This window comes from Homo sapiens, chromosome 20 (assembly GCF_000001405.40).
Source record: "Homo sapiens chromosome 20, GRCh38.p14 Primary Assembly".
Lineage (NCBI taxonomy): Eukaryota > Metazoa > Chordata > Mammalia > Primates > Hominidae > Homo > Homo sapiens.
In genome coordinates, this window is record NC_000020.11 from 64101058 (window position 1) to 64127988 (window position 26931).

A 26931-nucleotide genomic window follows, 5' to 3' on the forward strand; every position below is an offset into this window, starting at 1 on the left:
GGGGAGTTTTGGTGAAGGATGAGCAGACGGCCTCCTCTAGGGCTGGGTACACTCTTGCCATGGACATCTGCCTCCTGGTTCCTGTTTGGCCCAGTTCAGCCCAGGCCGACCTGCAAAACAGAGCAGCTTTGGAGGGTGGGCACGGGCACACTCCAGTCCAAGTACTCGTCTCCAGGGCATGGGCAGATGGGCAAGTTCTGTAGGATTTTCTGTAGGTTTGAATGACAGACACTGTCTTATCCTGGACTGCTATAGCAAAGTACCATAGACTCAGTGGCAATAGAGACATCAGATGTTTATTTCTCATGGTTCTGGAGGCTGGAGATCTGAGATCAGGTGCAGGCACGGTCAGGTTCCGGGGAAGACCCGCTCCCAGGCTGCAGAGGGCCATCTTCTCACTATGTCATGACATGGGTTTGACAGCTGGAGAGCGTGCCTTTCCTAAAGGCACTCATCCCATTCAGGAGGGCTCTGCCGTCATGACCTGTCATCTCCCAAAGGCCCCCCTCTCCTGATACCATCAGCTTGGGGGGCTGAGATTTCAAAATGCAAATTTTGGAGGAACACAAATAGTTCATAACAAACACATTGCCATCAAAGCAAAAATATAGCATCAAGGGACAATTTGGGAGGGAGAGGCTGCACCGGGGCAGTTACTGTGCCCTTGGGCCCGGGAGATGGTATGGTCTTGGTAGAGGAGGCTCACACATGGTGCGGACTGTCCTGTCTTCGGGTGGGTGTGGATCCAGGGCTAAGCCCACAGCTAGTGTCTTCCAGAAGGAGCTGGCCAGACAGGGGCCAAGGGCCGTAGGAGGAGTTGGGGGGCGTTGGAAGCTGACTAGCTCCCTTGCCCTCCAGGACTGGGTTCCACCCCGGCCCACTCCACCCCTCCTCTGACCGCACCCTGGGTCTCCTCTCCAGCCCCCGGCTCCCCCAGCCCACCTCTGCTGTCGGGCTTGGTCAAGTCGCCTGGCTTTTCTGAGCCTCGGTTTCCTTCCGTGTGCAAAGGGGACCGCAGAACCCTCTTTGTGGGGTTGTGGGGGAAGGCTGGGGCGCCCGGGAGGGTCCCGGGTCGCGTCCGACCTCAGGAAGGCGGGGCTTCAGCAGCGGCCTCGGACCCTCCCTCCAGGGGGCGCTGTGGGCTCACGCGGGCCCAGCCTTGGGCCCCGGGGCGCTGCGGCGGGAACCGCGGTGACTAGCGGGGTCTTAAAGCGGGTGGCGGGGCCGGGCTCTCCTGGGACCAGGAGCCCAGAGCGTGGAGACGTGGCGGGCTGAGCCGCTCAGTGCGGCCCCTGCCCCGCGCCCACCCCGCCCCGTGTCAGGAGGTCCGCGGAGCGGGAGGACCCGCCTCCCGGGGAGAGCTCGCCCGCCCCTCCCTCCCGGCTGGCCGCGGGGCGGTCTGCAGACCCTTTGGCCGTGCCGGATCTGCCTGGTCCCCGGGGAGAAGACGCTGAGGATCCCATTGCTGGTCTGTGGATGGGGACAGGAGACGCCCGAGGTAAGAAGGGGTCCGGGTTCTTTGGAGGAATCCTGGTTGGCGCCTTCTCTGCAGCAGAGACGCCCGGCTGGGGCCGGAGGGCAAACTGGGGGCAGGGTGGGAGACCTCGGCCCTGAGGGCTGTAGGGGCTCTTGCCTGGGCGCTCCTTAAGCTCCCCCGCCCCCTCCGCCCCCCACCCCGCGGTGCTCACTCTCAGTCCTGCCTTGCGCACATTCCCACGCCCGGGCCTCTCCTGCCCGCCCCTCGTTGTTCACTTGCTCATTACGCCTCACACCTGGCTCTGCCGCGGGCTTGGAGCGGGTGTCTGGGAAACACAGTCTCACTTGTCTCCTCAAGGGGCTCCGGGGCACCGTAACAGCGTGCAGAGCGCAGTCAGGCTGCCGTGCTGCTGCTTTGCGAGGTGTGACTGCAGCGCAGCCAGGAAACAAATCCAGGGACAGCTTGTTCTTCCTGCGGTGTCGGTGTTGGTGGTGGCTTAAAAATTGCCCACAGACTGGGCTCATGCCTGTAATCCCAGCACTTTGGGAGGCTGAGGCAGGAGGATCACTTGAGCCCAGGAGTTTGAGACCAGCCTGGGCAACATAGTGAGACCCCGTCTTTCAAAAAAAAGAAAAATTTGCCTGGCGTGGTGGCGCACGCATGTAGTCCCAGCTACTCCAGAGCCTGATGTGGGGGGATTGCTTGAGCTCAGGAAGTCGAAGCTGCAGTGAGCCGTGACCCCACCACAGCACTCCAGCCTGGGCAGCAGAGTGAGATCCCTTCTCAATTAAAAAAAAAAAAATTGAAGCAAAAGAAAAATAAACCGTCTACAGCCCCCGAGTGTGGGCTGGACATGTGACTTGCTTCCAATGCACAGAATGTAGTAGAAGGGAAGGCAAGTGGCTTCGGAATCTTGGCCTCAAATGTATTGAGGCTTCCTCTTGGCTCCCCCCTGGGTCGCTGGCTCCTCCCTGGGTCGCTGGCTCCTCCCTGGGTCGCTGGCTCTGGGGGACCCAGTGCCATGTTTCGAGGACACTCAGCCCCTGAAGCATCCATGTGTTGAGGAGCAGAGGCCTCCTGCCCATAGCCATGGAAGGAAGACTTCTCAGAAGAAGATACCCCAGCCCCTGCCCAGCCTTCAGAGGGTCAGGGCCTGGGCCAAGGTCCTGACTGCAACCTCAGGAGAGACCCTGAGCCAGAACCACCCAAAAAGCCACTTTAATTCTTGAACCACAGAAGTGAAATAGTAGAAGTTGTCTTAAGCGGCTAAGTTTTGGAGAAATTTGTTATTCAGCAACAGATATCTAATACAATGTTGTCAGGGAGGATAAGTGGATGGAGATGGCCGTGGCGTGTTTGGCTGGCTAGCACGGAGGAGGGGCACTGCTGCAGGCCTGAGCCGAGTGGGCTGGAACGCTGGAGTATTTGGTGGATGGGTGGAGGTGGGCATACACCCTGGGACACCTCGTGGGGCGGTGAATGGTGGGTCCTGTGTGCCGGCTGGACAGATTGATCAGAGCTCTGGGTCATGAGGACTGAAACCAACCCAGAACACTCACACCTCACTGCCAGGCTGGAATGCCAGGCATGGAACCAGCTGAGAGCCATGGGGCCAAGAGTCGGGGCCTGGCCACAGCACACCTGGGACCAACCCCTGGCCCCTCCCACCTGACAGTCAGCGGTCTCTGAACTGCCTGCATTTCATTACCACCCCTCACCCTGCCCCCACCAGAGTTTCAGCATGCAGCTCCTGCTGGCTGATTACAAGCCCCTGGCCACACCCCGGGAGAGAGAGTTCCAGGTGCCAGCCTGTCCAAGTGATGGATGGTCCCTAGGCTGTGGTGGCCCAGAGGTCCTGGCAAAAGGGCCCTGTAGCCTCTAGTAAAGTATGAGAGGAGCATCGGCCACAGCAGGGGTGTACAGGCCATGGCGAGGACCGTCGGCCACAGCAGGGGGGTACAGGGGAGCACAGGCCATGGAGAGGACCGTCAGACACAGCAGGGGGGCACAGGGGAGCACAGGCCATGGTGAGGACTGTCGGCCACAGCAGGGGAGCACAGGCCATGGAGAGGACCGTCGGCCACAGCAGGGGAGTATAGGGGAGCACAGGCCATGGAGAGGACCGTCAGACACAGCAGGGGGGTACAGGGGAGCACAGGCCATGGAGAGGACCGTCGGCCACAGCAGGGGAGTATAGGGGAGCACAGGCCATGGTGAGGACTGTCGGCCACAGCAGGGGGGCACAGGGGAGCACAGGCCATGGTGAGGACTGTCGGCCACAGCAGGGGGGTACAGGGGAGCACAGGCCATGGAGAGGACCGTCGGACACAGCAGGGGGGCACAGGGGAGCACAGGCCATGGAGAGGACTGTCGGACACAGCAGGGCGGGTACAGGCCATGGCAAGGACCGTCGGCCACAGCAGGGGGAACACAGCAGCACAGGCCATGGCACATGGGCACGGCGGGGCTGGGCCTCCTGCTGGAACTCCACTTGGGCTTCAGGCCACGAGAGTGGATTTCTGGGTCTCATGCGGTGCAGGTGTCCGCCTTTGCAGCAACACAGCATCGCTGCTGCCTGAGGTGCCCGCACTTACCACCCCCCGGCCCCATCTTGGGGAGAGACTATGTAACGTGGCCCAGGTCAAGATCACAGTTCAGGTTCCCTCCCCTCCCGACCACTGTCATTAGGGATCCTGAGTCCCAGAGCCTTCCAAGGGGCTTGTCCATCTGTCTGTCTCTCGTGGGTAAGTGGGCCCGGGATGCTTGCTGTGTGGGGGCCTCTGCCAGGACCTGGATCCCTGCTGCTGTCCACCCAGGGGCTGTCCAGGAAGCAGAGACATGGGAGGTATATGCCCACGGCTGTCTGTAGGTCTGGTGGCCAGCGTGTGAGGGTCTGTGTCTCCTTGCGTGGAGAGGACAGCACTGGGATGTGAACAGGCCGGGCGTCCCCTGAAAGAGACAGCCGGAACTGGGTGGGGGTGGGCGTGATGATGGGGGTGATGGTGGGGGTGGTGGGGGGGGTGGGCGTGATGATGGGGGTGGGGGTGGGGGTGGGGGTGATGGTGGGCGTGATGGTGGGGGTGGGGGTGATGGGGGTGGGCGTGATGGTGGATGTGATGGGGGTGGGCATGATGATGGGCGTGATGATGGGGGTGGTGGTGGGGGTGATGGTGGGGGTGGTGGTGGGGGTGGGGGGGGGTGGGCCTGATGGGGGTGTGGGCATGATGATGATGGGCGTGATGATGATGGGGGGTGATGATGGGCATGATGATGGGGGTGATGGTGCCCAGGCCCTTCAGCACCGCAATATGCTGCGGAAGTTCTTCCGGAAGTTGTCATCTAGAAAGGCGTAGAGGAAGGGGTTCAGGCACGAGTTGGCGTAGCTGAGGCTGGTGATGACGTAGGACATACTGATGACCAGTGGGGTCTGGGGCAGGTCCGTGGTCAGGGCCACGACAGAGGCCAGGTGGAAGGGCGTCCAGCAGAGGAGGCACACGGCCAGCACGACGAGGACCAGGACGGTCACCTTCCGCCTGGCCTTGCCTAGAGCCTTGGCTCCAGAGCGGAGCCGCACGGCCCGCAGCCTGCGCAGGAGGTCTGTGTAGAGCACACAGATGGTGCACACGGGCAGCACGAAGCCCAGGACCAACGTGTAGACACGGCTGGCCTTGAACCAGACCTGCTCGGGCCACGGGAAGCTCAGCCCACAGCTTGGGACCTGCAGCTCGTTGCTGTAGACGCCAGCGAAAGAGAAGAAGGGCAGAACCAGGACCGTGACGCCCAGCCAGACACACAGGCTGGCGACCTTCGCCCCCCGGTAGGTGCGCCAGGGCATGTGGCGGGACCTCACGGTGGCCAGCACCACCAGGTATCGGTCCACGCTCATCACGGCTAGGAAGTAGATGCTGGAGAAGATGTTGTAGTGGTCGACGGCCAGCACCAGCTTGCAGAGCAGCTCCCCGAAGGGCCAGTACTGCAGCAGGTGCTCCGCGATGTTGACGGGCAGTACCAGCGTGAAGAGCCCGTCGGCGACGGCCAGGTTCAGGATGAACACGTTGGTCACCGTCTTCATCTTGGGCGCCCTTAGGATTACAAGGATGACGGCCGTGTTGCCAGTCAGCCCCACAGCACAGATCCCGGAGTACACGGCGGGCAGGAGCACATAGAGGAACGGCAGTGGCTCGGAGAAGGTGGCATTGTGGCCAGTGCCATTGTCCTGAGAGACGTTGGCACCCATCGTGGGGAGGGAGAAGGAGCCCCTGCTGTCAAGGGGCTCTGGGTGCCCAGCGGCCTGCATTGTAGCTGGGACCGTTGACGATTTGCGCCCTGGGCAGGTGGGAGGTGCCTTGGAGTTGGGTATCTGGTTGGGGGCCTCCTTGGGCTGGATTCTAGGAAAGAAAAACAACCAGAGACTTTGAGATCCGGCCGTCTGTTAGGGCACAGCCACTCCAGGTTCTCTGGCAGAGACTGCGGCCACTTTGCCAGGTCAAGGACATGGGGCCAGAGGGAGCCTGGTGGGGTGTGTGGGGGCCTCCTCCCGCCTCTTCCTGGTGAGACTTCAGCAGATCAGTTCCCTCCTCCCGCAGAGAGCAGCTGCTGGCCACCCTCCTGGGAAGAGATGTGGATCCGTCCCTGCCCCAGCAACCCGCAGATGCACGGGCTGCGTAGAATCAAGCGGTCCCTTTGGAAACACACCTCCCAAGCTCATCTCTGGCTCCCTTGAATCTGAAGGTCCTTCCCTCAGGGGTCTTGGAGTCTGCACCCTCCCTCACACCCTCCCGAGAGATGCTGCAGACCCTGCTGGTCCAGCTACTCTTCTCTCCACTGACCTGTCCAGTGCTTCGAGTCCAGAAGTTGGTAGCCTTGGTGTGTTCCTGGTTTTGGCCAGTACAGGCAGTCGCAGGGATGGAGGGCGAGGTGTGGTCCTCACTGACAGACCTCCAGCTGAGGTTTCAGGAGTTTCAAGACCTGCCCTGCTGGCTGCCTCAGCCCCGGCTGCGAGGTTCCCAGCCTGGTGTCAGTGCTGATGCTGGTGAGGGAGGGAGGCGGATCCCCCTTGCTGACGTGGAGCCCGGAAGGCAGGCCCCACCTTCCCCTGAGCTGCAGTAGCGCCTGCAGTCGGCTGTCCCAGGGTCTCCTCAGCATTCACTTACCCAGGCAGACTCCTCAGTGGGCGGCTGAGGCACGTGTGCGCCTGTGTGTCAGGAAGGGACTCCATGCAGGGGCCTCTGGGTGTGCCCAGGTCTTCGGGCAGAGGGCACTGAAGGCATCTGTGCCTCTGTCCGGGAGTCACTGTGGGCCTGGGCACCCTTATCTGTGAACATGGGTGTCTTGGTGGGTCTCCTGCCCCACCCTGTGTGTGTACATGGTGTGTTCCTGTGTGTGTGTGCCAGTTAGGACATGTACGTGTGTGGGCCTGTGTCTGCCTGTATGGGGGTCTCTGTGGGTGAGCTCTGCGTTGTATCTGAGTGGGTCTACATGTCCTTGGCTGAGTGTGGGCATCTGGGGGGTCTGTATGCCCTCATGTGGAAGCAGAACTTGTTGGCCATAGGCAACCCACCTTCTTTTTTTGTCTTTTGCTAAAAGAGGAACTCAGCCTAGGCAAGCTGTGAAAGGCTGCAGAGAAGACGTTCTCACGCTGACACGTAACTCTCCCGCCGTCCTGCAGAGGTGGTGAGCATCACACTCTGCTCTGGGTTGGTCTTTAAGTCCTTCCCTTCTCCCTGCTTTTCTTCCTTGCTGGACGCACCCTGGCTTATCCAACCCGTGTGTGTGCAGCTCGGCCGCATCTGGACCTGCTTTGCAGGCAACGCCACAGCTGACACGAGCAGTCGCCAGTCTCAGAGCCGCTCCTCAGCGGAGACGTGTTGGGTCAGAGGGTCTGTGTTTTCTTTCCTTTCTTCTTTTTTGAGACAGGGTCTTGCCCTGTCACCCAGGCTGGGGTGCAGTGGCACTATCATGGCTCACTGCAGCCCTGACCTCCCTGGGCTCAGGTGATCCTCCCACCTCAGCCTCTCAAGTAGCTGGGACTACAGGCATGTGCCACCATGCCTGGCTAATTTTTGTGTTTTTTTTTGTAGAGACGGGGTTTCACCATGTTGCCCAGGCTGGTCTCGATCTCCTGAGCTTCAGCCTCTACCTCAGCCTCCCAAAGTGCTCAGGTTATAGCCATGACCCACCGTGCCTGGTCACTGTGTGTTTTCAGTCTGGGGAGATGTGTCTGCCCATCGAGACTGTGCCCGCTGCCTGTGGGGTTGCAAGGATGTCACCGCACACTCATGGTCGGCCTTCTTTCCTGAGAGTTGCTCTGTCAAGTCTATTGGTTAGGACAGGAGCCTGGGCAGTCGCCCTGAGTACCCTGATGTCGCCAGCCTGAGGGTACACTGTGGGTGGGCCCCGAGCTACCCTTCTATGGGCTGTGCCATGTGGATGTTGAGTCCGGGGTCAGGGAACCCTGCTGAGATATCTCACACTCCTCTTCAGCCAGTTTGGGGATGGCGGTGGGGGGGATCTGTGGGTGTGTCTCGAGGGAGCGTGGGGCTTGTAGCCACAGTTTGTCACATAAGTGGAGCTTGACGCCCACAAGGTCAGGGGATGGTGATTAGCAGCCGTGAGGAGAGGGTGCATTGGGGCTGAATTTTGTGATTTGGGGTGTTCGTGGGGTCGGGAGGGGTCAGTTCACAGCTCCTGGAAACCAGAGGCGTGACACAGAGAGGCCAGGCCTGGCATGTGGTGGCCCAGGCATTGACCAGGGTGTGGGCTGGGCCAGGCGGTCACTGGTCTTGGCTGGGGAGCGGCCGACCATGGCCTCAGCACCGGGCACTGGGAGAATGTCCCAGGCCTGCTGTCACCGAGCTGCTGTCCTGGGGTGGGGCTGGCCACGCTGGCCTGATTCTGGGCCTCCCTGGGGGCCTGCTGTCACCGAGCTGCTGTCCTGGGGTGGGGCTGGCCACACTGCCTGACTCTGGGCCTCCCTGGGGGCATTGCTGGGGGCCTCTCCCTTCCATGCATTTTGGGAGGGGCCCAGGCTAGTGCCGGTGCCTTCCTCTGCCCCCCAGGGCTGGCTGGCAGCCTGCCCAGTGACCCCCGTGTGGCCTGAGCTCTGGGCACCCCTGCTGGTCTTTGCCCTGCAGGATACCGACTGCCACCCACACCTTCTTCAGAGCAGGGTGTTCCAGGAGGGTCTTCCCTTAAGCCTCAGTAGTGGGGAGCCCAGTGTCAGAGGCATCCCTCAGAGCACAGAATCTTCCCATGCAAAGATCCCACTGTGTGTCTGGCTTCCTCTGAAGCCAACCACGAGTCTGGGTCCTCTTCCCTCCACCGGTATCTGGTGAGTCTGGGAATCGGAGCCCCTCCCAGACTCTAGCTCTGCTCTCCTGAGCCTGTCCTGAAGGCTGGTCTGGCACCACCGCCCGCCGGTCACATTGGAGGTGGGGTGCGCATGATGGAAGGGATGGGGACCCTGAGGGCAGTGGGGATGGGGGAGACTGCCAGGTGCTGAGCTCAGGACCCCGGGGAGGCCGGCTGGAGGTGTCAGGTCCTCCTGGCCACAAAAGCAGCAGCCCCAGGGGCCTTTTCCTCCTCCCAGAAGCACCTCACCGATGCCCGCTGCAACACCAGGGCCTGAGCCGGGGGTGCTCCCCCGTCTGTACCCCCAGCACTCAGGGCTCAGAAAGGCCCTTTGCTCTGTTCGTGGGCTGGGCATTGTTCCAGCCAGCTGTGAGCTTGTGAGAGCATCGTTCTGTGGAAATGGTTTCCATTTTCAGAAATAAATTGGCCTTTTCAAATGAACCTGTGAGGCCCTTTGGGTGAAGAGAGGAGAGGCCAGGGAGGGAGGGAGCCGTGGTCAGCTCTGTTGGGCAGAACGGTGGTGGGGGCCTGACAGCAAGGCCACTGACATGGCACATCCTCTGTCTGGGGTGTGGGGTGAGGGAGTGATGGGTGCCAGTCAGTGTGCATCTGAGCATTTTGTGGGGCTGCGTGTGGGGGTCTTGCAGGGACCTGAAGGAGACCCCTAGGGCAGGGGCCAGGGAGAAGCGCCAGGACCCTGGGACAGCCTGAGCAACACACAACATAGCTGTGCTGGCTTCACGCTTGTTGCCGCTTCACATAGGTGTGGCAGCTGCCCTCCACCTGTCCCCCTGTGTGCAGGGACACCTGTCCCTCAGTCCGTGCTGCGACTTGGATCTTCACACGGGCATGCATATGTGTAGCAGGCATACAGACCCAGAGATTCATACAGACTCCAGTGTGCTTGTTGACCATCTCATCTCCAGCCAGGCAGGCCCTGGTAGGAGGGGTGGATTCTGCCCTGTGGCCAGAGTCCAGGCCTGTCTGCCCTGCTCTCTCTCCTCCATCAGCTCTCCAAGATGAGCCTCAACTGTAGCTGTGGCCCTGCAGGTTAAGTCCTCCCAAGAGGCCTAGGCCATTAAGACCAGTGAGAGGGCCGGGGGCGGTGGCTCATACCTGTAGTCCCAGCACTTTGGGAGACCAAGGTGGGCAGATTGCTTGAGCCCAGGAGTTCGAGACCAGTCAAGGCAACATGGTGAAACCTCATCTCTACAAAAAAAATACAAAAGGCCGGGTGCGGTGGCTCACGCCTGTAATCCCAGGACTTTGGGAGGCCGACGTGGGCAGATCACCTGAGGTCAGGAGTTCAAGACCAGCCTGGCCAACATGGCGAAACCCCGTCTGTACTAAAAATACAAAAATTAGCCGGGCGTCATGGTGGGTGCCTGTAATCCCAGCTACTCGGGAGGCTGAGGCAGGAAAATTTCTTGGACCTGGGAGGCGGAGGTTGCATTGAGCCGAGATCATGCCACTGCACTGCAGCCTGGGGGACAGAGCGAGACTCTGTCTCAAAAAAAACAGAAAAACAAACATTAGCTGGGTATGGTGGTGCATGCCTATAGTCCCAGCTGCTTGAAAGGCTGAGGTGGGAGAATCGCTTGAGCCCAGGAGGTCAAGACTGCAGTGAGCCGAGATCGTGCCACTGCACTCCAGCCTGGGTGACGGAGTGGGGCCCTGTCACAAGGAAAAAAAAAAGACCAGCGAGAGTTCCAGGCCTGGTGTTCTCTAAGCAGGTAATTGGGCAGCTTAGCTCTCTCGAAAGAGATAAGTAATTCAGGGCCAGTTTCCCTCAGAGTGGGAGGTGAATTCTCCAGGGAAGCTGGGAGAAAACACACTTTATTTATAAAACTGGGAAGGGGCCATTTCTCATTTAAATTCAGGATTCCCCACCATACCTCGGGGCACCCGCTGCCTCTCTCTTTCCCCGTCCAGTCAGCAATGAACTGTCCCCAGGGGAGGTCATGTTAGACAGGACCATAGACACCGGGCACCTTAGCTCAGGGCAGGTGAGAGGGGCCAGGGTAGCCAGACTGGGTCCTCAGCCACCTCCCAAATACCCGAACTTAGGCCCTGAGTCATTCATCTGCTGCACAAACACTTGCCCAGGAGGACTGCGGTGAGCACAGGGAACAATTCCTGCTCTCGTGGGGCTGGCCCTTTGGTGGGGGAAGCAGATGGTAGATGAAATAGTGCAGTGCACTGTGGAGCAGGAGGAAGGGGAGCTCTGGGGGCAGCAGGAGGCCACTGGGCCTTGCAGAGAAGGCAACGCTTGTGCTGAAACCCGGAGTGGGTCGGGGAGGCTGGGCGAGTGGGGGCAAGGCCCCTGGGGGAAAGAGGGCCCTTGGGACCAGGTCCTAAAGCCAGAGGTTCTGGAGGTGACAGCTGGGGGAGCAGAGGCCTGAGCAGGTTGGGGAAGTGGCTGTTGCAGGGAAGCCGGAGGTCACGGTGGCGTGTAGGTCTGCCTGCCTGTGGGCAGCCCCCACCCTGACCAAGGCCTTCTGCAAGTAGGGGTTTACAGGGCTACTGGGGCTGGGGCACCGAGGCCTCCCTCTCATCTCTGAACCTCATCTGCTAAAGCTGTGCCTGCCCTACCCACATGCCTCCTGCCGCCCCAGGCGCGTGTAGGCGGCAGGCTCAGGGAGCCTGGTGCAAAGATCCCATCGTGACTGAAGCACGCAGACAGGAAGGAGGGCGACTGTTCCCTAGGGCCCAGGCCTGTCTCCTCTTGGGGCTGGGAGGGTTGCTTAAATCAATTATCAAAGCGCTTGCAGCCTCCTGCTCACTCACAAAGACCCGAATCCAAGCACAGGACAGCAGGCCCCCAGGACAGTCTTCCCCAGTGGTGACTGCTCCCTGTTCTCCTTGCCTTGTCCAGTCCCAGGCCCTAATAACCAGGCATAGGCCCTGGAATGGGCCCGCCCTGAGTTTGGAAGCTTCCAGGTGCTCTCTGGAGGCACAATCCCAGAGGGCTTCACTGAGGAGGTGTCACTGTGCCTGGCCTCAGGGCCGTGTCCCTGGGTGATCTCAGTGTGTCTGGAGATGTAGGAGAGGGCTGGAGGGGGTCTCACTCTGTCCTCAGGGCTGGGAGCAGCTGTGGCCACTCGGAGATCGTGGGCAGAGTGGGCAGGCAGGTGCAGGCGCCTTTGAGTCTCCAGGGGAGGGGGTTATTCAGGTGTGTCAGTGCGTGTGGACACACATGTGGCTGGGCGGGAGTGTGTGTATGTCCTGTGACATCCTTCACCGGTGCCTGCAGTGGCAGAGCGCCCTGAGCCCCCATAGAGGGCCCAGGAGTGTCCGAGACCTGACGTGGACTATGTCTGGCTTTCTCGTCAGGCCGTGAATTCTTGCTGAAGGATCCTCAGATGGGAAAGGCTGATGCATGCCCAGATCTGGAGGCTTTTGACTCGCCTGTTGGCTCCTGGCCTGGAGACAACCCTGTAGGCCGGCAGTCCGTGTCCCTCCACAGGAGGACCGTGCCTACGTGGCTGGTTTCTGGGCCTGGGGAGTATGGGCTGCAGCTCTGGGATGCTCCAGGGGCTAGATTTGTTGACCTTGGACCGGGCTCTCCGTCGTGGGCAGATGAGGAGGGGTGGGAAGGTTGGAGGAGAAAGGCTGGGTGAGGCAGCCCCCACCACCCTTTCTGGATCTCTCACCTTGGGGACATCCAGACAGGAGAGAACAGATCCAGGCTGGCAGCTGGTAGGGTCGGAATGATGGGCCCTGTTGGAGGTGAGGGAGCTTCTGACCTTGCCCATTCTCTTCCCCTTCTAACCTGCCTGGCACAAACCCCGACCTCAAAGGATGGATAGTGGCCTGAGCCTGTGGCAGAAGCTTCAGCTACCCCCGGGGACTGGCTGATCCTCGTGCTGTGACTGCAGTACACACACACACACGCACATACACACCTGCTCACAGATTCCAGCACACACAGACCTTAGCACACACATACACACAAGCACACAGATGCCAGCACGTACACACCTGCCCTCCCACACATGGTCACACGCTTACACTCCATTGTTGCATGACCTTCTCCAGATCAGCACCTGCCATGTCCTGCCTGCCAGGTCGTCTTCAGGCCAGGAGCCATTGCTTGTGGGTGGTGGGGTGGGGCTCTCTTGAGCTGATTGCTGTGAGACGAACTGGGCTGGGGAAGGCTGGGTGGCGGTGTGGGACCAGGCCCTGCTGGAGAGGGGTCAGGGGTGGGGTGGAATGTTAGAGTTAGGGGCAGTGGCCGGGTCAGGGTCAGAGTCCCACAGCCACATGCTTGCTGCCCTGCATCCTTGCAGCATTGGCGTCGGTGCACACGCATGTTTCATTCCCCGTGTTCATGGCATCCAGCCCCCATGTGTCATGTTCACATGCCCTGTCTCATTTGCTCATGCAAGGCTAACATCGTTGTACCCACACACGTCTGCATGCATGACTCGATGCACTTTTGGGCCCCACTTCAGGCTTCATGTGCTGGCTGCACACATTCCTGCTCACACGTCCCGTGGACATGCCCTGAGTCTCTCTGATAAGGTTCAGAGCCCAGGAGGGCACCTCTCACTCGGGGGAGCCTGTTCCTGACCCTGTTCTCTGCTCGAGGAGCCTCGGGAGGGTCACTGGGCAAGCATCTAGGAGGAGCCAGCAGCTGCAGGGCTGGAAGGGCCATGGCCCACGCCTTTCTGTGGCCAGTGAGCAGGGATCCTGCTGTGATGAAATCTCAGGCAGGCTGTGGCACGGGGGATGCCGAAGGTGAATCTGTGTAGCTGTGAGGACCCTGAAGAAGAGCTTTGCCGGGCGGGCAGCTGGGGCAGTGCTGGGAGGTGGCACCTGGCTGGTGCATGTTGTATCCTCTGTCTCCAAATCCCCGTTCTCTGCACAGAGCTAGACATTTTGCTGCACCGGCGAGGACTGGAGTGGAGTCACCCTCAGCTCTGGGGACCCCGCTATGGGCCAACTCCTCCCTGGACCTCCTGCTGATGGGCTGCCCTGGTTCCTATCTCCACCCCTTTGCTCCCAGCACCTCTGCTGGTCCATGTAACCAATGTGCCCTGCATGCCAGGCCCTGGGCTCAGTGCTGGGGGCTCAGACTGGGCTGGGACCTGGCAGGGGTTGGGGTGGTACCTCTGTCCAGGGCTTGTGGATGGGACTCTTTTGCTACTGCCTTGGCAGCAGCCAGGAGGGGGCCCAGCTGAGGACTGCAGCTCTACCCAGTCCAGAACGTTTGACCATGCAGGGGGATAGGCTCCACTTCCAGAGTCTGTGATGGTTTTTTTTTTGTCAGAGGAACTGAGCTAGAAAGAGCTGTGAATGATGGTTCAGCTCTGAGAAGCAGATAAACCTTTATAAGTCAGAAGGGGCCTCAGTTTCTCCATTTGTCCTGGCCCTGTTTGTCACATGCCCTTCAGGACACACACATCTGTCTCTCCTGCATAGCCCTCCATGGAGTCCTGGGCCAGGTTCCGGGTCCACCCTGTCCCCATCCCAGTGTGCTCAGCCCAGGGCAGTAGGCCACATCACACCAGGTCTTCAGTGGCCTCCCTCCTCCATCCCCAGGGATGTCGCAGGGATGGCAGGTGGAGGAGGCTTTTACCAGGAGAGGCAGCACTGGCAGGAGCAGGTTTTTAAAGTCTTGAGGTTGTCATAGCAACTGCATCCCTGCTGAGGTTCTGAGGTTCGGTGGCTGTGCAGACGTCCATGTGCTGGAGCTGGGCATGTACAAAAGCCACGTGGTGGCTCCAGGCTGCTGCTGTGGCACAGGTGTGCCTTGGCGTTGGTGAGGTGTGGCACGGCTGTGCGGTGGCGCAGGTGAGGTGAGGTGTGAGGTGGTATACGTGGCCTTGCGGGGCAGTTTTCCTTGCCTGTGACCTCAGCCTATATCCAGCTCCAAAATGTGGTCTGCAGTGGGGAAGGGCAGGAGCTGGATCTGGCCCTCCCCTGTGCTGACCTAGATTCTGCCCGGCCTGCAGGTCCTGCAGCAGACGTGCCTGTAATGAGTCTAATTGTGCAGGCTCTGTGGTCACCATAGCTTTCGGTACCCAAGGGGGTAGACAGAGGTTTGAATCTAGGACTGGGCAGCTCCCTCACCTTCCACCCCCACAACCGTGGCCTCAGTCATCAACGGACGAGGCCAAGTCAGTAGCGGAAGCCGGGCCGTGCCCTCGGCTGGGTCCTGTGGCCTTCGGGCTGCCACCCTGTGCTGGGGATGGAGGTGGGGGCATGGGGCTGCTGCCAACACCCGGCTGGTGCTTGCAGCTGTGGTGCCAACAATTCTCACGCCGCGCTGTCGTCTTTTTGGCTTCTGGAATTTTGAGCCAATTCGGGCTCACCGGGTTGATGCCGCCCCTCATCTGGCCGAGGCTTCTGGGAGCCTGAGGGAGTCGGGACCCCACCCTCAGCGGGGCATGGCGTGGGCCACGTCACCATCCGCCTTGTGTTTATGGGATGATTTAAAAGAACACGGCAGTCTTGGAAGAGTGGTGATGGCGTTTAGCTTAATGGCTTTTGATGCAGAAGCCAAAAGCGTGGTCTGGGCCAGACCTAGGCAGTCAGGGCTCTGGGCTGGGCAAGGGCACCGTATGAAAGGCTGGGTGGGGATCAAGGGGAGCCAGGGTTCAGGCTGGAGGCCCCCTGAAGGGAGATGAGGGTCTGCAGGGGCTGTGGCATGAGGATCTTCATGGCTGCAGTCTTGGAGGAGAGCAAAGTCCAGACAAGCCTAGGGACGGGACAGAGGAGGTGGACAGAGGTGGACAGAGGTGTGGGAGGCCGGCCACGGCCCACTGCACAGGGGGTCTTGGGGACGCCAGCTCAGCCCCAGGCCTCAGCTGAATGGTTGCCTCCCGCCCAGGTCGGGCCCCACTTCTTGTGCCCAGGGCCCTCTCTAAACTCTTCATCATGGCCCCTCTCCGCCTCCCCCCGGACTCCAGGCCAGCGCTGTGTCTGTGCTGTGCGTCTTTTGAGCTTTGTCTCCAGCCCTGGACCCTGGGGCTCCTCCTTCTCGGGCCTCTTCCTGAAGCCTGAGGAGCCACCCTCTGCTGGGGGAGGCTGAGTGTCCCTGCCTAGTCTGGGTGAGGGGAGTCACAGCCCGGCCCAGACCCCACCCCGCTTACATGTATGGCAAGCCATGGCCTTGCTCTCCAGAAGCCATGGCAGCCGGGTGAGGATACTGTGAGCACAGGACTTGGTGTCCATCTTGGCTGTGCCCTCTCAGGAGCATCAGCCTGGTGACCTTGTGACCTCTTATGTCCCCTCTGCAGGAAGGGTGACCAACAGTCTGGATTGGCCCAGGACTGTCCAGGTTTTAGCACTGAATGCCCCACATCCCAGGAAATCTCTTGGTCCTGGACACACTGTTTATCAGTAGGGCCTACCCGGGGGACATATGAGAAAGTGTTCCCTCCAGGAGAAGCTGTGCTGGGCATGAGGGCACTCTGATGTGTGTGTGGGTGGCCTGGGCAAAGCTGTGCGGGGCATGAGGGCACCCTGATGTGGGGGGGGGCCTGGGCAAAGCTGTGCGGGGCATGAGGGCACCCTGATGTTGGGGGGGTGTCTGGGCAAAGCTGTGCAGGGCATGAGGGCACCCTGATGTGACGGGGGGGCCTGGGCAAAGCTGTGTGGGGCATGAGGGCACCCTGATGTTGGGGGCGGTCTCTGGGCAAAGCTGTGCGGGGCATGAGGGCACCCTGATTTTGGGGGTGTGTCTGGGCAAAGCTGTGCAGGGCATGAGGGCACCCTGATGTGGGGGGGTGCCTGGGCAAAGCTGTGCGGGGCATGAGGGCACCCTGATGTTGGGGGGGGTCTCTGGGCAAAGCTGTGCGGGGCATGAGGGCACCCTGATGTTGGGGGGGTGTCTGGGCAAAGCTGTGCGGGGCATGAGGGCACCCTGATGTGGGGGGGGTTGTCTGGGCAAAGCTGTGCGGGGCATGAGGGCACCCTGATGTGGGGGGGTCTCTGGGCAAAGCTGTGCGGGGCATGAGGGCACCGTGATGGGGGGGTGTCTGGGCAAAGCTGTGCGGGGCATGAGGGCACCCTGATGTGGGGGGGGTGTCTGGGCAAAGCTGTGCGGGGCATGAGGGCACCCTGATGTGGCGGGGGGGGGCCTGGGCGAAGCTGTGCGGGGCATGAGGGCACCCTGATGTTGGGGGGGGTGTCTGGGCAAAGCTGTGCGGGGCACGAGGTCACCCTGATGTTGGGGGGGGGTGTCTGGGCAAAGCTGCGCGGGGCATGAGGGCACGCTGATGTGGCAGGGGGTGTCTGGGCAAAGCTGCGCAGGGCATGAGGGCACCCTGATGTTGGGGGGGGTGTCTGGGCAAAGCTGTGCGGGGCATGAGGTCACCCTGATGTTGGGGGGGTGTCTGGGCAAAGCTGCGCGGGGCATGAGGACACCCTGATGTGGGGGGGGTGTCGGGGCAAAGCTGTGCGGGGCATGAGGGCACCCTGATGTTGGGGGGGGTGTCTGGGCAAAGCTGTGCGGGGCATGAGGTCACCCTGATGTTGGGGGGGTGTCTGGGCAAAGCTGTGCGGGGCATGAGGGCACCCTGATGTGGGGGGGGGTGTCTGGGCAAAGCTGTGCGGGGCATGAGGGTACCCTGATGTTGGGGGGGGTGTCTGGGCAAAGCTGTGCGGGGCATGAGGGCACCCTGATGTTGGGGGGTCTGGGCAAAGCTGTGCGGGGCATGAGGGCACCCTGATGTGGGGGGGGTGTCTGGGCAAAGCTGTGCGGGGCATGAGGGCACCCTGATGTGGGGGGGTCTGGGCAAAGCTGTGCGGGGCATGAGGGCACCCTGATGTGGGGGGGGTGTCTGGGCAAAGCTGTGCGGGGCATGAGGGTACCCTGATGTTGGGGGGGGTGTCTGGGCAAAGCTGCGCGGGGCATGAGGGCACCCTGATGTGGCGGGGGGGGGCGTGGGCGAAGCTGTGCGGGGCATGAGGGCACCCTGATGTTGGGGGGGGTGTCTGGGCAAAGCTGCGCGGGGCATGAGGGCACCCTGATGTTGGGGGGGGGTGTCTGGGCAAAGCTGCGCGGGTCATGAGGGCACCCTGATATGGTGGGGGGTGTCTGGGCAAAGCTGTGCAGGGCATGAGGGCACCCTGATGTGGCGGGGGGGCCTGGGCAAAGCTGTGCGGGGCATGAGGGCACCCTGATGTTGGGGGGGGTGTCTGGGCAAAGCTGTGCGGAGCATGAGGGCACCCTGATGTTGGGGGGGTGTCTGGGCAAAGCTGTGCGGGGCATGAGGGCACCCTGATGTGGGGGGGGGTGTCTGGGCAAAGCTGTGCGGGGCATGAGGGCACCCTGATGTGGTGGGGAGGGCCTGGGCAAAGCTGTGTGGGGCATGAGGGCACCCTGATGTCGGGAGGGGGGCAGGCCTGGGCTCAGCCAGAAGACAGCCCCAGTTCCTCCAGCATGGCTGGGCCCCATCCCACCTCACTTCCTTCCATCTCCACCTTTGCCGACTCCTGGGATCTGAGCCTCCTCCTGGTCTGTCTCTGGTTCTGAATGCCTCCTATGTGCCGGGTGCTGACAGCTAAAGATACATCCGTGTTTCATTTTGTCTCCACAATGGCCAGGGGCAGTACTACTGTCATCCCATCTAGCAGATGGGAACAGGAGGCTCTGATGGAGTTTCCCTGGAGCGTGCTTGCTAACCGTGGAGCAACAGGGCACTCAGCTTCCGCACGGAGCTTCCCAGAGCCTGTGGCTTCCTCTCAGGGCTCCGGCAGTGTTGAATGTGGGGAGCTCACACTCTCACCAGGGAGACCTCATACCTGCTGCTTATCACCTGGGAGATGTTTTCTGCCCACAGAGGCTCCGTCACATCTCTGGCTGCTCGGGGAGGTGAGTGGGGCCCTGCTCACTCAGGACAAAGGAGGCTGAGGTGGAGCTCTAGGCCCCTCTTCCCCACCCACTTGAGTGCACCCCGAAGGCACGTGGAGTTCCTGGGGTGCTGCCTGTGGTCGGGCCAGAGACTGCTCCACTGTCCAAACTGTGCTCATAGGTATGTGGCCTGGGGACTGTTGCCGTGGAACCGGGTAAAGAGCCCTGTGGACCTGTGCTCCCAACTCAGGCCAGTCAAGGGTGCCACTGTGGCCTAGATAGTCTCCTGAGGGGAGCAGACCAGGTGGAGGTCAGGAGTACAGGTCTGGGACTGGCTTTTTCCTTGCTGTGTGGCCCAGGGTGAGTTACCCAACCTCTCTGAGCCTCTGTCTCCTCACTTGTCAAATGGGGATCGTAATTTTCCTGCCTCAGGCTGGAGGCTTGCACGTGTTGGGCCAGCCCCATCTGAGGTCCCACCTGCCCGTGCTGCTCTGGACCTGGTCTGGGGTTTCGGCCTTGGGCCTGGGCAGCTCAGGTGGATGCTTGGAGGGAGCACTGACCTCAAGTCAGCTGTGAGTAGGACGGGAGGCTGGTGAGCGGCAGCAAGCTGCAAGCCACAGGCAGGGAGAACTTCCCGGAGGTAGAGAGAGAGAGAGAGAGAGAGAGAGAGAGAGTGTGTGTGTGTGTGTGTGTGTGTGTGTGTGTGTGTGCGCCCTTCTTAGCCTGGGCAAAGAATTGGGAGACCAGCAGGCCAGCGCTGGCTCTGCCATGGAGGGGAAGCACTTTGAAGCCCCACTGTTCCTGGACTAGCTCTGCTGAACCACAGAGGGGCCGCCGTTTTCCCTTGGCTGGGGTAGAGGAACAGGGTCCTTCCTGTGGCTCCTGGCTGAGCCAGGTTCTGTGCGACGCGGACCAACCCTGACCCCCAGTGGCCAGTTCCGAGAACTGCTGCAGAGGAAAAGGGACCATTCAGTAGGGTGGGGGTGGGGGCTTGCGCGGCATTCATTTTCGAGTGGACATGGGGGCAGGCAGGCCAGTCTCTGATGATTTAAGGATGCTGTGGTTTGAATATTTGTCACCTCCAAAACTCAAGTTGGAATTTAATCCCCAATGTGGCAGTATTGAGAGGTGGGGCCTTTAAGAGGTGATTGGGTCACAAGAGCTCTGCCCTCATGAATAGATTAATTTATTTATAGATTAATGGGTTATCATAGGAGTGGGGCTAGTAGCTTTATAAGAAGAGAGAGACCTGAGCCAGCACGCTCAGCCCCTCACCATGCGACGCCCTGCACTGCCTTGGGACTCTGGGGTTCCCACCAGCAAGAAAACCTCACCAGATGTGGCCCATTGACCTTGGACTTCCCAGCCCGCAGAACTGTAAGAAATACATTTTGTTTCTTTTAAATTACCCAGTTTCTGTTATAAGCAGCAGGAAACAGACTAAGACAAGGGGCAAGCCAGCCTCTGCCCACAAGGAGCTCCATTCTGGTGTGGAGAGACCCAAACACACAACTATGCTCTTTGTCTTGCTAGAGACTTGTTTTGTGGTGGCCCCAACCTCAACTTGCCAGCAATTTGTAAAAGAACCAAGTCAATTTTACACAGCAAATTAAACCCCAGGGTAAATGTGTGTACCTGGATTCCAATAGTAGGTAAAGATTCTTAATGGTGAAAACTATGACTCCTGTTAAAACTCTTGTGTTCTGTTCTTACCACTGAGTTTAAACAACAACTCTGTGCTAATCGTATAAAGAATATTTTTGTCTGGACTGTCTACGGCCAAGTTCTCCACCCTGGATGTGCACAGAATCCCCTGGGGACTTCAGGAGCTCACTGGAGCTGGTTCCACCCCCATGCCCAGGCTCTGATGTGCTTGGTCTGGGCTGGGGCCTGGGCACCAGTGTTGTCCTAGTTTTGTGTTGCTATGAAGGAATATCTGAGGCTGGGTAATTTCTTTTTCTTTTTCCTAGGTGAGGAGAAGGATAGAGGCTGGGCCATTATAAAGAAAAGAGGTTTGTTTGGCTCACGGTTCTGCAGGGTGTACGGGAAGCACGGTGCCGGCACCTGCTTCTGGGGAGGCCTCAGGGAGCGTGCACTCATGGCGGGAGGTGTCTCATGGTAAGAGAAGAGGCGAGAGAGAGGGGCGATGCCAGGATTTTTTTAAAACAACCAGCTCGTGTGGGAACTAATAGAGCAAGAACTCACTCATCACCATGAGGAGGGCACTAAACCATTCATTCTGGATCCTTCCCTATGACCCGAACACCTCCCACCAGGCCCCGCCTCCAACATCGGGGATTAAATTTCAACATGAGGTTCGGGGACAAACGTCCAAACTATAGCAGGTATTTCTGAAGAACACCCAGGTGTTTCAAAGCTGGGGTGAAGCCGTGGGTTAACACTGTTTTTCAGACATGGCTGGAGACCTGGGGTTCCTACACCACAGAGTCTCCCTGCCAGAGTTCTCAGCTCCTGGGGAGGCTGAGGTGGGTGGATCACTTGAGGTCAGGAGTTTGAGATCAGCCTGGCCAACATGGTGAAACCCCGTCTCTACTAAAAATACAAAAAATGTAGCCAGGCGTGGTGGCACACACCTGTAATTCCAGCTACTCAGGAGGCTGAGGCACGAGAATCACTTGATCCTGGGAGGCGGAGGTTGCAGTGAGCTGAGATCTCACTACTGCACTCCAGCCTGGGTGACGGAGTGAGACACTGTCAAAAAAAAAAAAAAAAAGAAAGAAGAAAGAGAAGTATCATGATAAAAGAAATAATATTTTAAAAAAAGACAGTGTGGTATTTGCATCAAGATAGACAGATCAATAGAACAAATTAGAGATACCAGAAATAGACCCACAAATATGAGCAAGTGATTTTCAACAAAGCTGCAAAGGCAATTCAATAAAGGCAAGTTTTGTTCTCAGTAAATGATGCTAAACAGTTGGATATCCATATGCAAAAAAATGAACTTTGATCCATACCTTGTACTATATTAAAATATTGTCAATATGGATCATAAACCTAAATGTAAAAGCTAAAATTATAAAACTTCTATAAGAGGACATAGAAGAAAACCTTTGCAAACTTAGATCAGGCAAAACATTATTAGATAGGATATCAAAACATAATCCATCAAATAAATAAGATGTTTCATCAAAACTAAGAACTTCTGCTATTCCAAAGACACTGCTAAGAAAATGAAAAGACAAGCCCAAGGCTGTAAGACAATTTTTGCAAATCACATATTTGATAAAGGACTTGTATCCAGAGTATATCAAGAACTCTCAAAACTCAATAACGTTAATGGAAAAAAACAGATTCTGTAAAATATTTTAAAGAGGTTTATTCTGAGTCAATATGAATGACCATGGCCTGGAGAAAACAGTTTCGAGAGGTTCTGAGAAAGCCTGGAGAACACAGTTTCGAGTTTCCTGAGAAAGCCTGGAGAACAGTTTCGAGAGGTCCTGAGAAAGCCTGGAGAACACAGTTTTGAGTTTCCTTAGAAAGCCTGGAGAACACAGTTTCGAGAGGTGCTGAGAAAGCCTGGAGAACACGGTTTCGAGAGCTCCTGGGAAAGCCTGGAGAACACGGTTTCGAGAGGTCCTGAGAAAGCCTGGAGAACACGATTTCGAGAGGTCCTGAGAAAGCCTGGAGAACACGGTTTCGAGAGGTCCTGAGAAAGCCTGGAGAACATGGTTTCGAGAGGTCCTGGGAAAGCCTGGAGAACACAGTTTCGAGTTTCCTGAGAAAGCCTGGAGAACAGTTTCGAGAGGTCCTGAGAAAGCCTGGAGAACACAGTTTCGAGAGGTCCTGGGAAAGCCTGGAGAACACGGTTTCGAGAGGTCCTGAGAAAGCCTGGAGAACACAGTTTTGAGTTTCCTGAGAAAGCCTGGAGAACACAGTTTCGAGAGGTCCTGGGAAAGCCTGGAGAACACGGTTTCGAGAGGTCCTGAGAAAGCCTGGAGAACACGGTTTTGAGAGGTCCTGAGAAAGCCTGGAGAACATGGTTTCGAGAGGTTCTGGGAAAGCCTGGAGAACACAGTTTCAAGTTTCCTGAGAAAGCCTGGAGAACAGTTTCGAGAGGTCCTGAGAAAGCCTGGAGAACACAGTTTCGAGAGGTCCTGAGAAAGCCTGGAGAACACAGTTTCGAGTTTCCTGGGAAAGCCTGGAGAACATAGTTTCGAGAGGTCCTGAGAAAGCCTGGAGAACACAGTTTCGAGAGGTCCTGGGAAAGCCTGGAGAACACAGTTTCAAGAGGTCCTGGGAAAGCCTGGAGAACACAGTTTCGAGTTTCCTGAGAAAGCCTGGAGAACATGGTTTCGAGTTTCCTGAGAAAGCCTGGAGAACACAGTTTCGAGAGGTCCTGGGAAAGCCTGGAGAACATAGTTTCGAGAGGTCCTGGGAAAGCCTGGAGAACACAGTTTCGAGAGGTCCTGGGAAAGCCTGGAGAACACAGTTTCAAGAGGTCCTGGGAAAGCCTGGAGAACACAGTTTCGAGTTTCCTGAGAAAGCCTGGAGAACACAGTTTCGAGAGGTCCTGGGAAAGCCTGGAGAACACAGTTTTGAGTTTCCTGAGAAAGCCTGGAGAACATAGTTTCGAGAGGTCCTGAGAAAGCCTGGAGAACACAGTTTCGAGTTTCCTGAGAAAGCCTGGAGAACACAGTTTTGAGAGGTCCTGAGAAAGTGTGCCCCCAGCAGTCAGATTATACTTTGGTTTCATAGTTTTCAGAGAGGCAGGAGTTACAGGCAAAGACAGAAATCAATACATAGAAGGTAGACATTGGTTTGGCCCCAAATGGCAGGGTATCTTGAAGCAGGGTGTACAGGTTATATGTTGATTCAGAGATTCTTTAATTTGCAACTGGTTAAAGGTATAAAGTTTAATTAAAAAATTGGAGTCAGCAGAAAGGAATGTTTTGAGTTAAGATATAAGCTTCTTAACCCATAGGGGTGTGTGACTTAACTCCTGTCTGGCACAGCCTTAGGTCCTGTTTATAATTTGATATCTTATTGTCACAAATAGTTTGTTTTGTTGGTCTTATGAAATCTATTTTAACATTAATGCCTGAGATGTATGATGAGATGTGTCCAACTTCCCTTCCCATCATGGCCAGGGATTCAGTTTTTAAGGTTTTCTGGGGTTCCCTTGGCCAAGAGGGGGTCTGTTGAGTTGGTGGGGGCCTTAGGATTTCATTTTTTTTTTTTTTGAAACAGAGTCTCCCTCTATTGCCCAGGATGGAGTGCAGTGGCGCTATCTCGGCTCACTGCAACCTCTGTCTCCTGGGTTCAAGCGATTCTCCTGCCTCAGCCTCCCAAGTAGCTGGGATTACAGGTGTGCACCACCACACCCAGCTAATTTTTTTGTATTTTCAGTAGAGATGAGGTTTCACTGTGTTAGCCAGGATGGTCTCGATTTCCTGACCTCATGATCCACCCACCTTGGCCTCCCAAAGTGCTGGGATTACAGGTGTGAGCCACTGCGCCCGGACACACTTTGCTAGTTTTTTTTTTTTGTTTTGTTTTTTTAGTAGCAGTGCTGGGATTACAGGTGTCAGCCACCATGCCTGGCTCAAATACTACACTGTCTTGATTACTACAGCTTTATACTCAAATACTACACCATCTTGATTACTACAGCTTTATACTCAAATACCACACCGTCTTGATTACCACAGCTGTATACTCAAATACCACACCGTCTTGATTACCAAAGCTTTATACTCAAATACCACACTGTCTTGATTACCACAGCTTTATACTCAAATAACACACCGTCTTGATTACCACAGCTTTATACTCAAATACTACACCGTCTTGATTACCACAGCTTTATACTCAAATACCACACTGTCTTGATTACCACAGCTTTATACTCAAATACTACACTGTCTTGATTCCTATAGCTTTATACTCAAATACCACACTGTCTTGATTACCACAGCTTTATACTCAAATACTACACTGTCTTGATTACTATAGCTTTATACTCAAATACTACACTGTCTTGATTACTATAGCTTTATACTCAAATACTACACTGTCTGATTACTACAGCTTTATACTCAAATACCACCCTGTCTTGATTACCACAGCTTTATACTCAAATACCACACCGTCTTGATTACCACAGCTGTATACTCAAATACTACTGTCCTGATTACTACAGCTTTATACTCAAATACCACACCGTCTTGATTACCACAGCTGTATACTCAAATACTACACCGTCTTGATTACCACAGCTTTATACTCAAATACTACACCGTCTTGATTACCACAGCTTTATACTCAAATACCACACTGTCTTGATTACTATAGCTTTATACTCAAATACTACACTGTCTGATTACTACAGCTTTATACTCAAATACCACACTGTCTTGATTACCACAGCTTTATACTCAAATACTACACTGTCTTGATTACTATAGCTTTATACTCAAATACTACACTGTCTGATTACTACAGCTTTATACTCAAATACCACACTATCTTGATTACTACAGCTTTATACTCAAATACTACACTGTCTGATTACTACAGCTTTATACTCAAATACCACACCGTCTTGATTACCACAGCTTTATACTCAAATACTACACTGTCTTGATTACTACAGCTTTATACTCAAATACCACACCGTCTTGATTACCACAGCTGTATACTCAAATACTACACCGTCTTGATTACCACAGCTTTATACTCAAATACTACACCGTCTTGATTACCACAGCTTTATACTCAAATAACACACTGTCTTGATTACTATAGCTTTATACTCAAATACTACACTGTCTGATTACTACAGCTTTATACTCAAATACCACACTGTCTTGATTACCACAGCTTTATACTCAAATACTACACTGTCTGATTACTACAGCTTTATACTCAAATACCACACTGTCTTGATTACCACAGCTTTATACTCAAATACTACACTGTCTTGATTACCACAGCTTTATACTCAAATACCACACCGTCTTGATTACCACAGCTGTATACTCAAATACCACACTGTCTTGATTACCACAGCTGTATACTCAAATACCACACTGTCTTGATTACCACAGCTTTATACTCAAATACCACACTGTCTTGATTACTATAGCTTTATACTCAAATACCACACTGTCTTGATTACCACAGCTTTATACGCAAATACCACACTGTCTTGATTACTATAGCTTTATACTCAAATACCACACTGTCTTGATTACTACAGCTTTATACTCAAATACCACACTGTCTTGATTACTACAGCTTTATACTCAAATACTACACTGTCTTGATTAACACAGCTTTATACTCAAATACTACACTGTCTTGATTACCACAGCTTTATACTCAAATACTACACTGTCTTGATTACTATAGCTTTATACTCAAATACCACACTGTCTTGATTACTATAGCTTTATACTCAAATACTACACTGTCTTGATTACCACAGCTTTATACTCAAATACTACACTGTCTTGATTACTATAGCTTTATACTCAAATACCACACTGTCTTGATTACCACAGCTTTATACTCAAATACCACACTGTCTTGATTACCACAGCTTTATACTCAAATACCACACTGTCTTGATTACCACAGCTTTATACTCAAATACCACACTGTCTTGATTACTATAGCTTTATACTCAAATACCACACTGTCTTGATTACTACAGCTTTATACTCAAATACCACACTGTCTTGATTAACACAGCTTTATACTCAAATACTACACTGTCTTGATTACCACAGCTTTATACTCAAATACTACACTGTCTTGATTACTATAGCTTTATACTCAAATACCACACTGTCTTGATTACTATAGCTTTATACTCAAATACTACACTGTCTTGATTACCACAGCTTTATACTCAAATACTACACTGTCTTGATTACTATAGCTTTGTACTCAAATACCACACTGTCTTGATTACCACAGCTTTATACTCAAATACCACACTGTCTTGATTACCACAGCTTTATACTCAAATACCACACTGTCTTGATTACTATAGCTTTATACTCAAATACCACACTGTCTTGATTACTACAGCTTTATACTCAAATACCACACTGTCTTGATTACTACAGCTTTATACTCAAATACTACACTGTCTTGATTAACACAGCTTTATACTCAAATACTACACTGTCTTGATTACCACAGCTTTATACTCAAATACTACACTGTCTTGATTACTATAGCTTTATACTCAAATACCACACTGTCTTGATTACTATAGCTTTATACTCTGTTTTGAGGTCAGGTAGTGTCAGTCCCTCTAACTTCATTTTTC

At 55.8% G+C, this 26931-nt stretch overlaps 1 protein-coding gene across 1 annotated transcript, besides 6 other annotated features; it reads right to left on the reverse strand.

Moving 5' to 3' along the window:
• Nucleotides 373-874: an enhancer, noted in NCBI's record as "H3K4me1 hESC enhancer chr20:62732783-62733284 (GRCh37/hg19 assembly coordinates)". NCBI's record gives its function as "activates a minimal SCP1, AML or CMV promoter by ChIP-STARR-seq in naive H9 embryonic stem cells {active_cell/tissue: H9 hESC(naive)}" and the evidence as "EXISTENCE:reporter gene assay evidence [ECO:0000049][PMID:30033119]".
• Nucleotides 2745-6508, reverse strand: NPBWR2 (neuropeptides B and W receptor 2). Its single transcript, NM_005286.4, has 2 exons — nt 6307-6508; nt 2745-5865 (listed from the first exon to the last, which is right to left on the reverse strand). Exon 2 carries the CDS (start codon nt 5772-5774, stop codon nt 4773-4775), a length of 1002 nt encoding a protein of 333 aa, NP_005277.2. The 5' UTR covers nt 5775-5865; nt 6307-6508; the 3' UTR covers nt 2745-4772.
• Nucleotides 6056-6556: an enhancer, noted in NCBI's record as "H3K4me1 hESC enhancer chr20:62738466-62738966 (GRCh37/hg19 assembly coordinates)". NCBI's record gives its function as "activates a minimal SCP1, AML or CMV promoter by ChIP-STARR-seq in primed H9 embryonic stem cells {active_cell/tissue: H9 hESC(primed)}" and the evidence as "EXISTENCE:reporter gene assay evidence [ECO:0000049][PMID:30033119]".
• Nucleotides 8540-8723: a silencer, noted in NCBI's record as "fragment chr20:62740950-62741133 (GRCh37/hg19 assembly coordinates)". NCBI's record gives its function as "represses an EF-1alpha promoter that drives an FKBP-Casp9 reporter gene in an ReSE screen in K562 erythroleukemia cells {active_cell/tissue: K562}" and the evidence as "EXISTENCE:reporter gene assay evidence [ECO:0000049][PMID:32094911]".
• Nucleotides 19191-19690: an enhancer, noted in NCBI's record as "H3K4me1 hESC enhancer chr20:62751601-62752100 (GRCh37/hg19 assembly coordinates)". NCBI's record gives its function as "activates a minimal SCP1, AML or CMV promoter by ChIP-STARR-seq in naive H9 embryonic stem cells {active_cell/tissue: H9 hESC(naive)}" and the evidence as "EXISTENCE:reporter gene assay evidence [ECO:0000049][PMID:30033119]".
• Nucleotides 19359-19653: an enhancer, noted in NCBI's record as "tiled region #6051; K562 Activating DNase unmatched - State 5:Enh". NCBI's record gives its function as "activates a minimal TATA promoter and a strong SV40 promoter by Sharpr-MPRA in K562 cells {active_cell/tissue: K562}" and the evidence as "EXISTENCE:reporter gene assay evidence [ECO:0000049][PMID:27701403]".
• Nucleotides 22057-23256: an enhancer, noted in NCBI's record as "BRD4-independent group 4 enhancer chr20:62754467-62755666 (GRCh37/hg19 assembly coordinates)". NCBI's record gives its function as "activates an origin of replication core promoter dependent on BRD2, P300/CBP, MED14 and CDK7 cofactors, and independent of BRD4, by STARR-seq in HCT116 cells {active_cell/tissue: HCT116}" and the evidence as "EXISTENCE:reporter gene assay evidence [ECO:0000049][PMID:35650434]".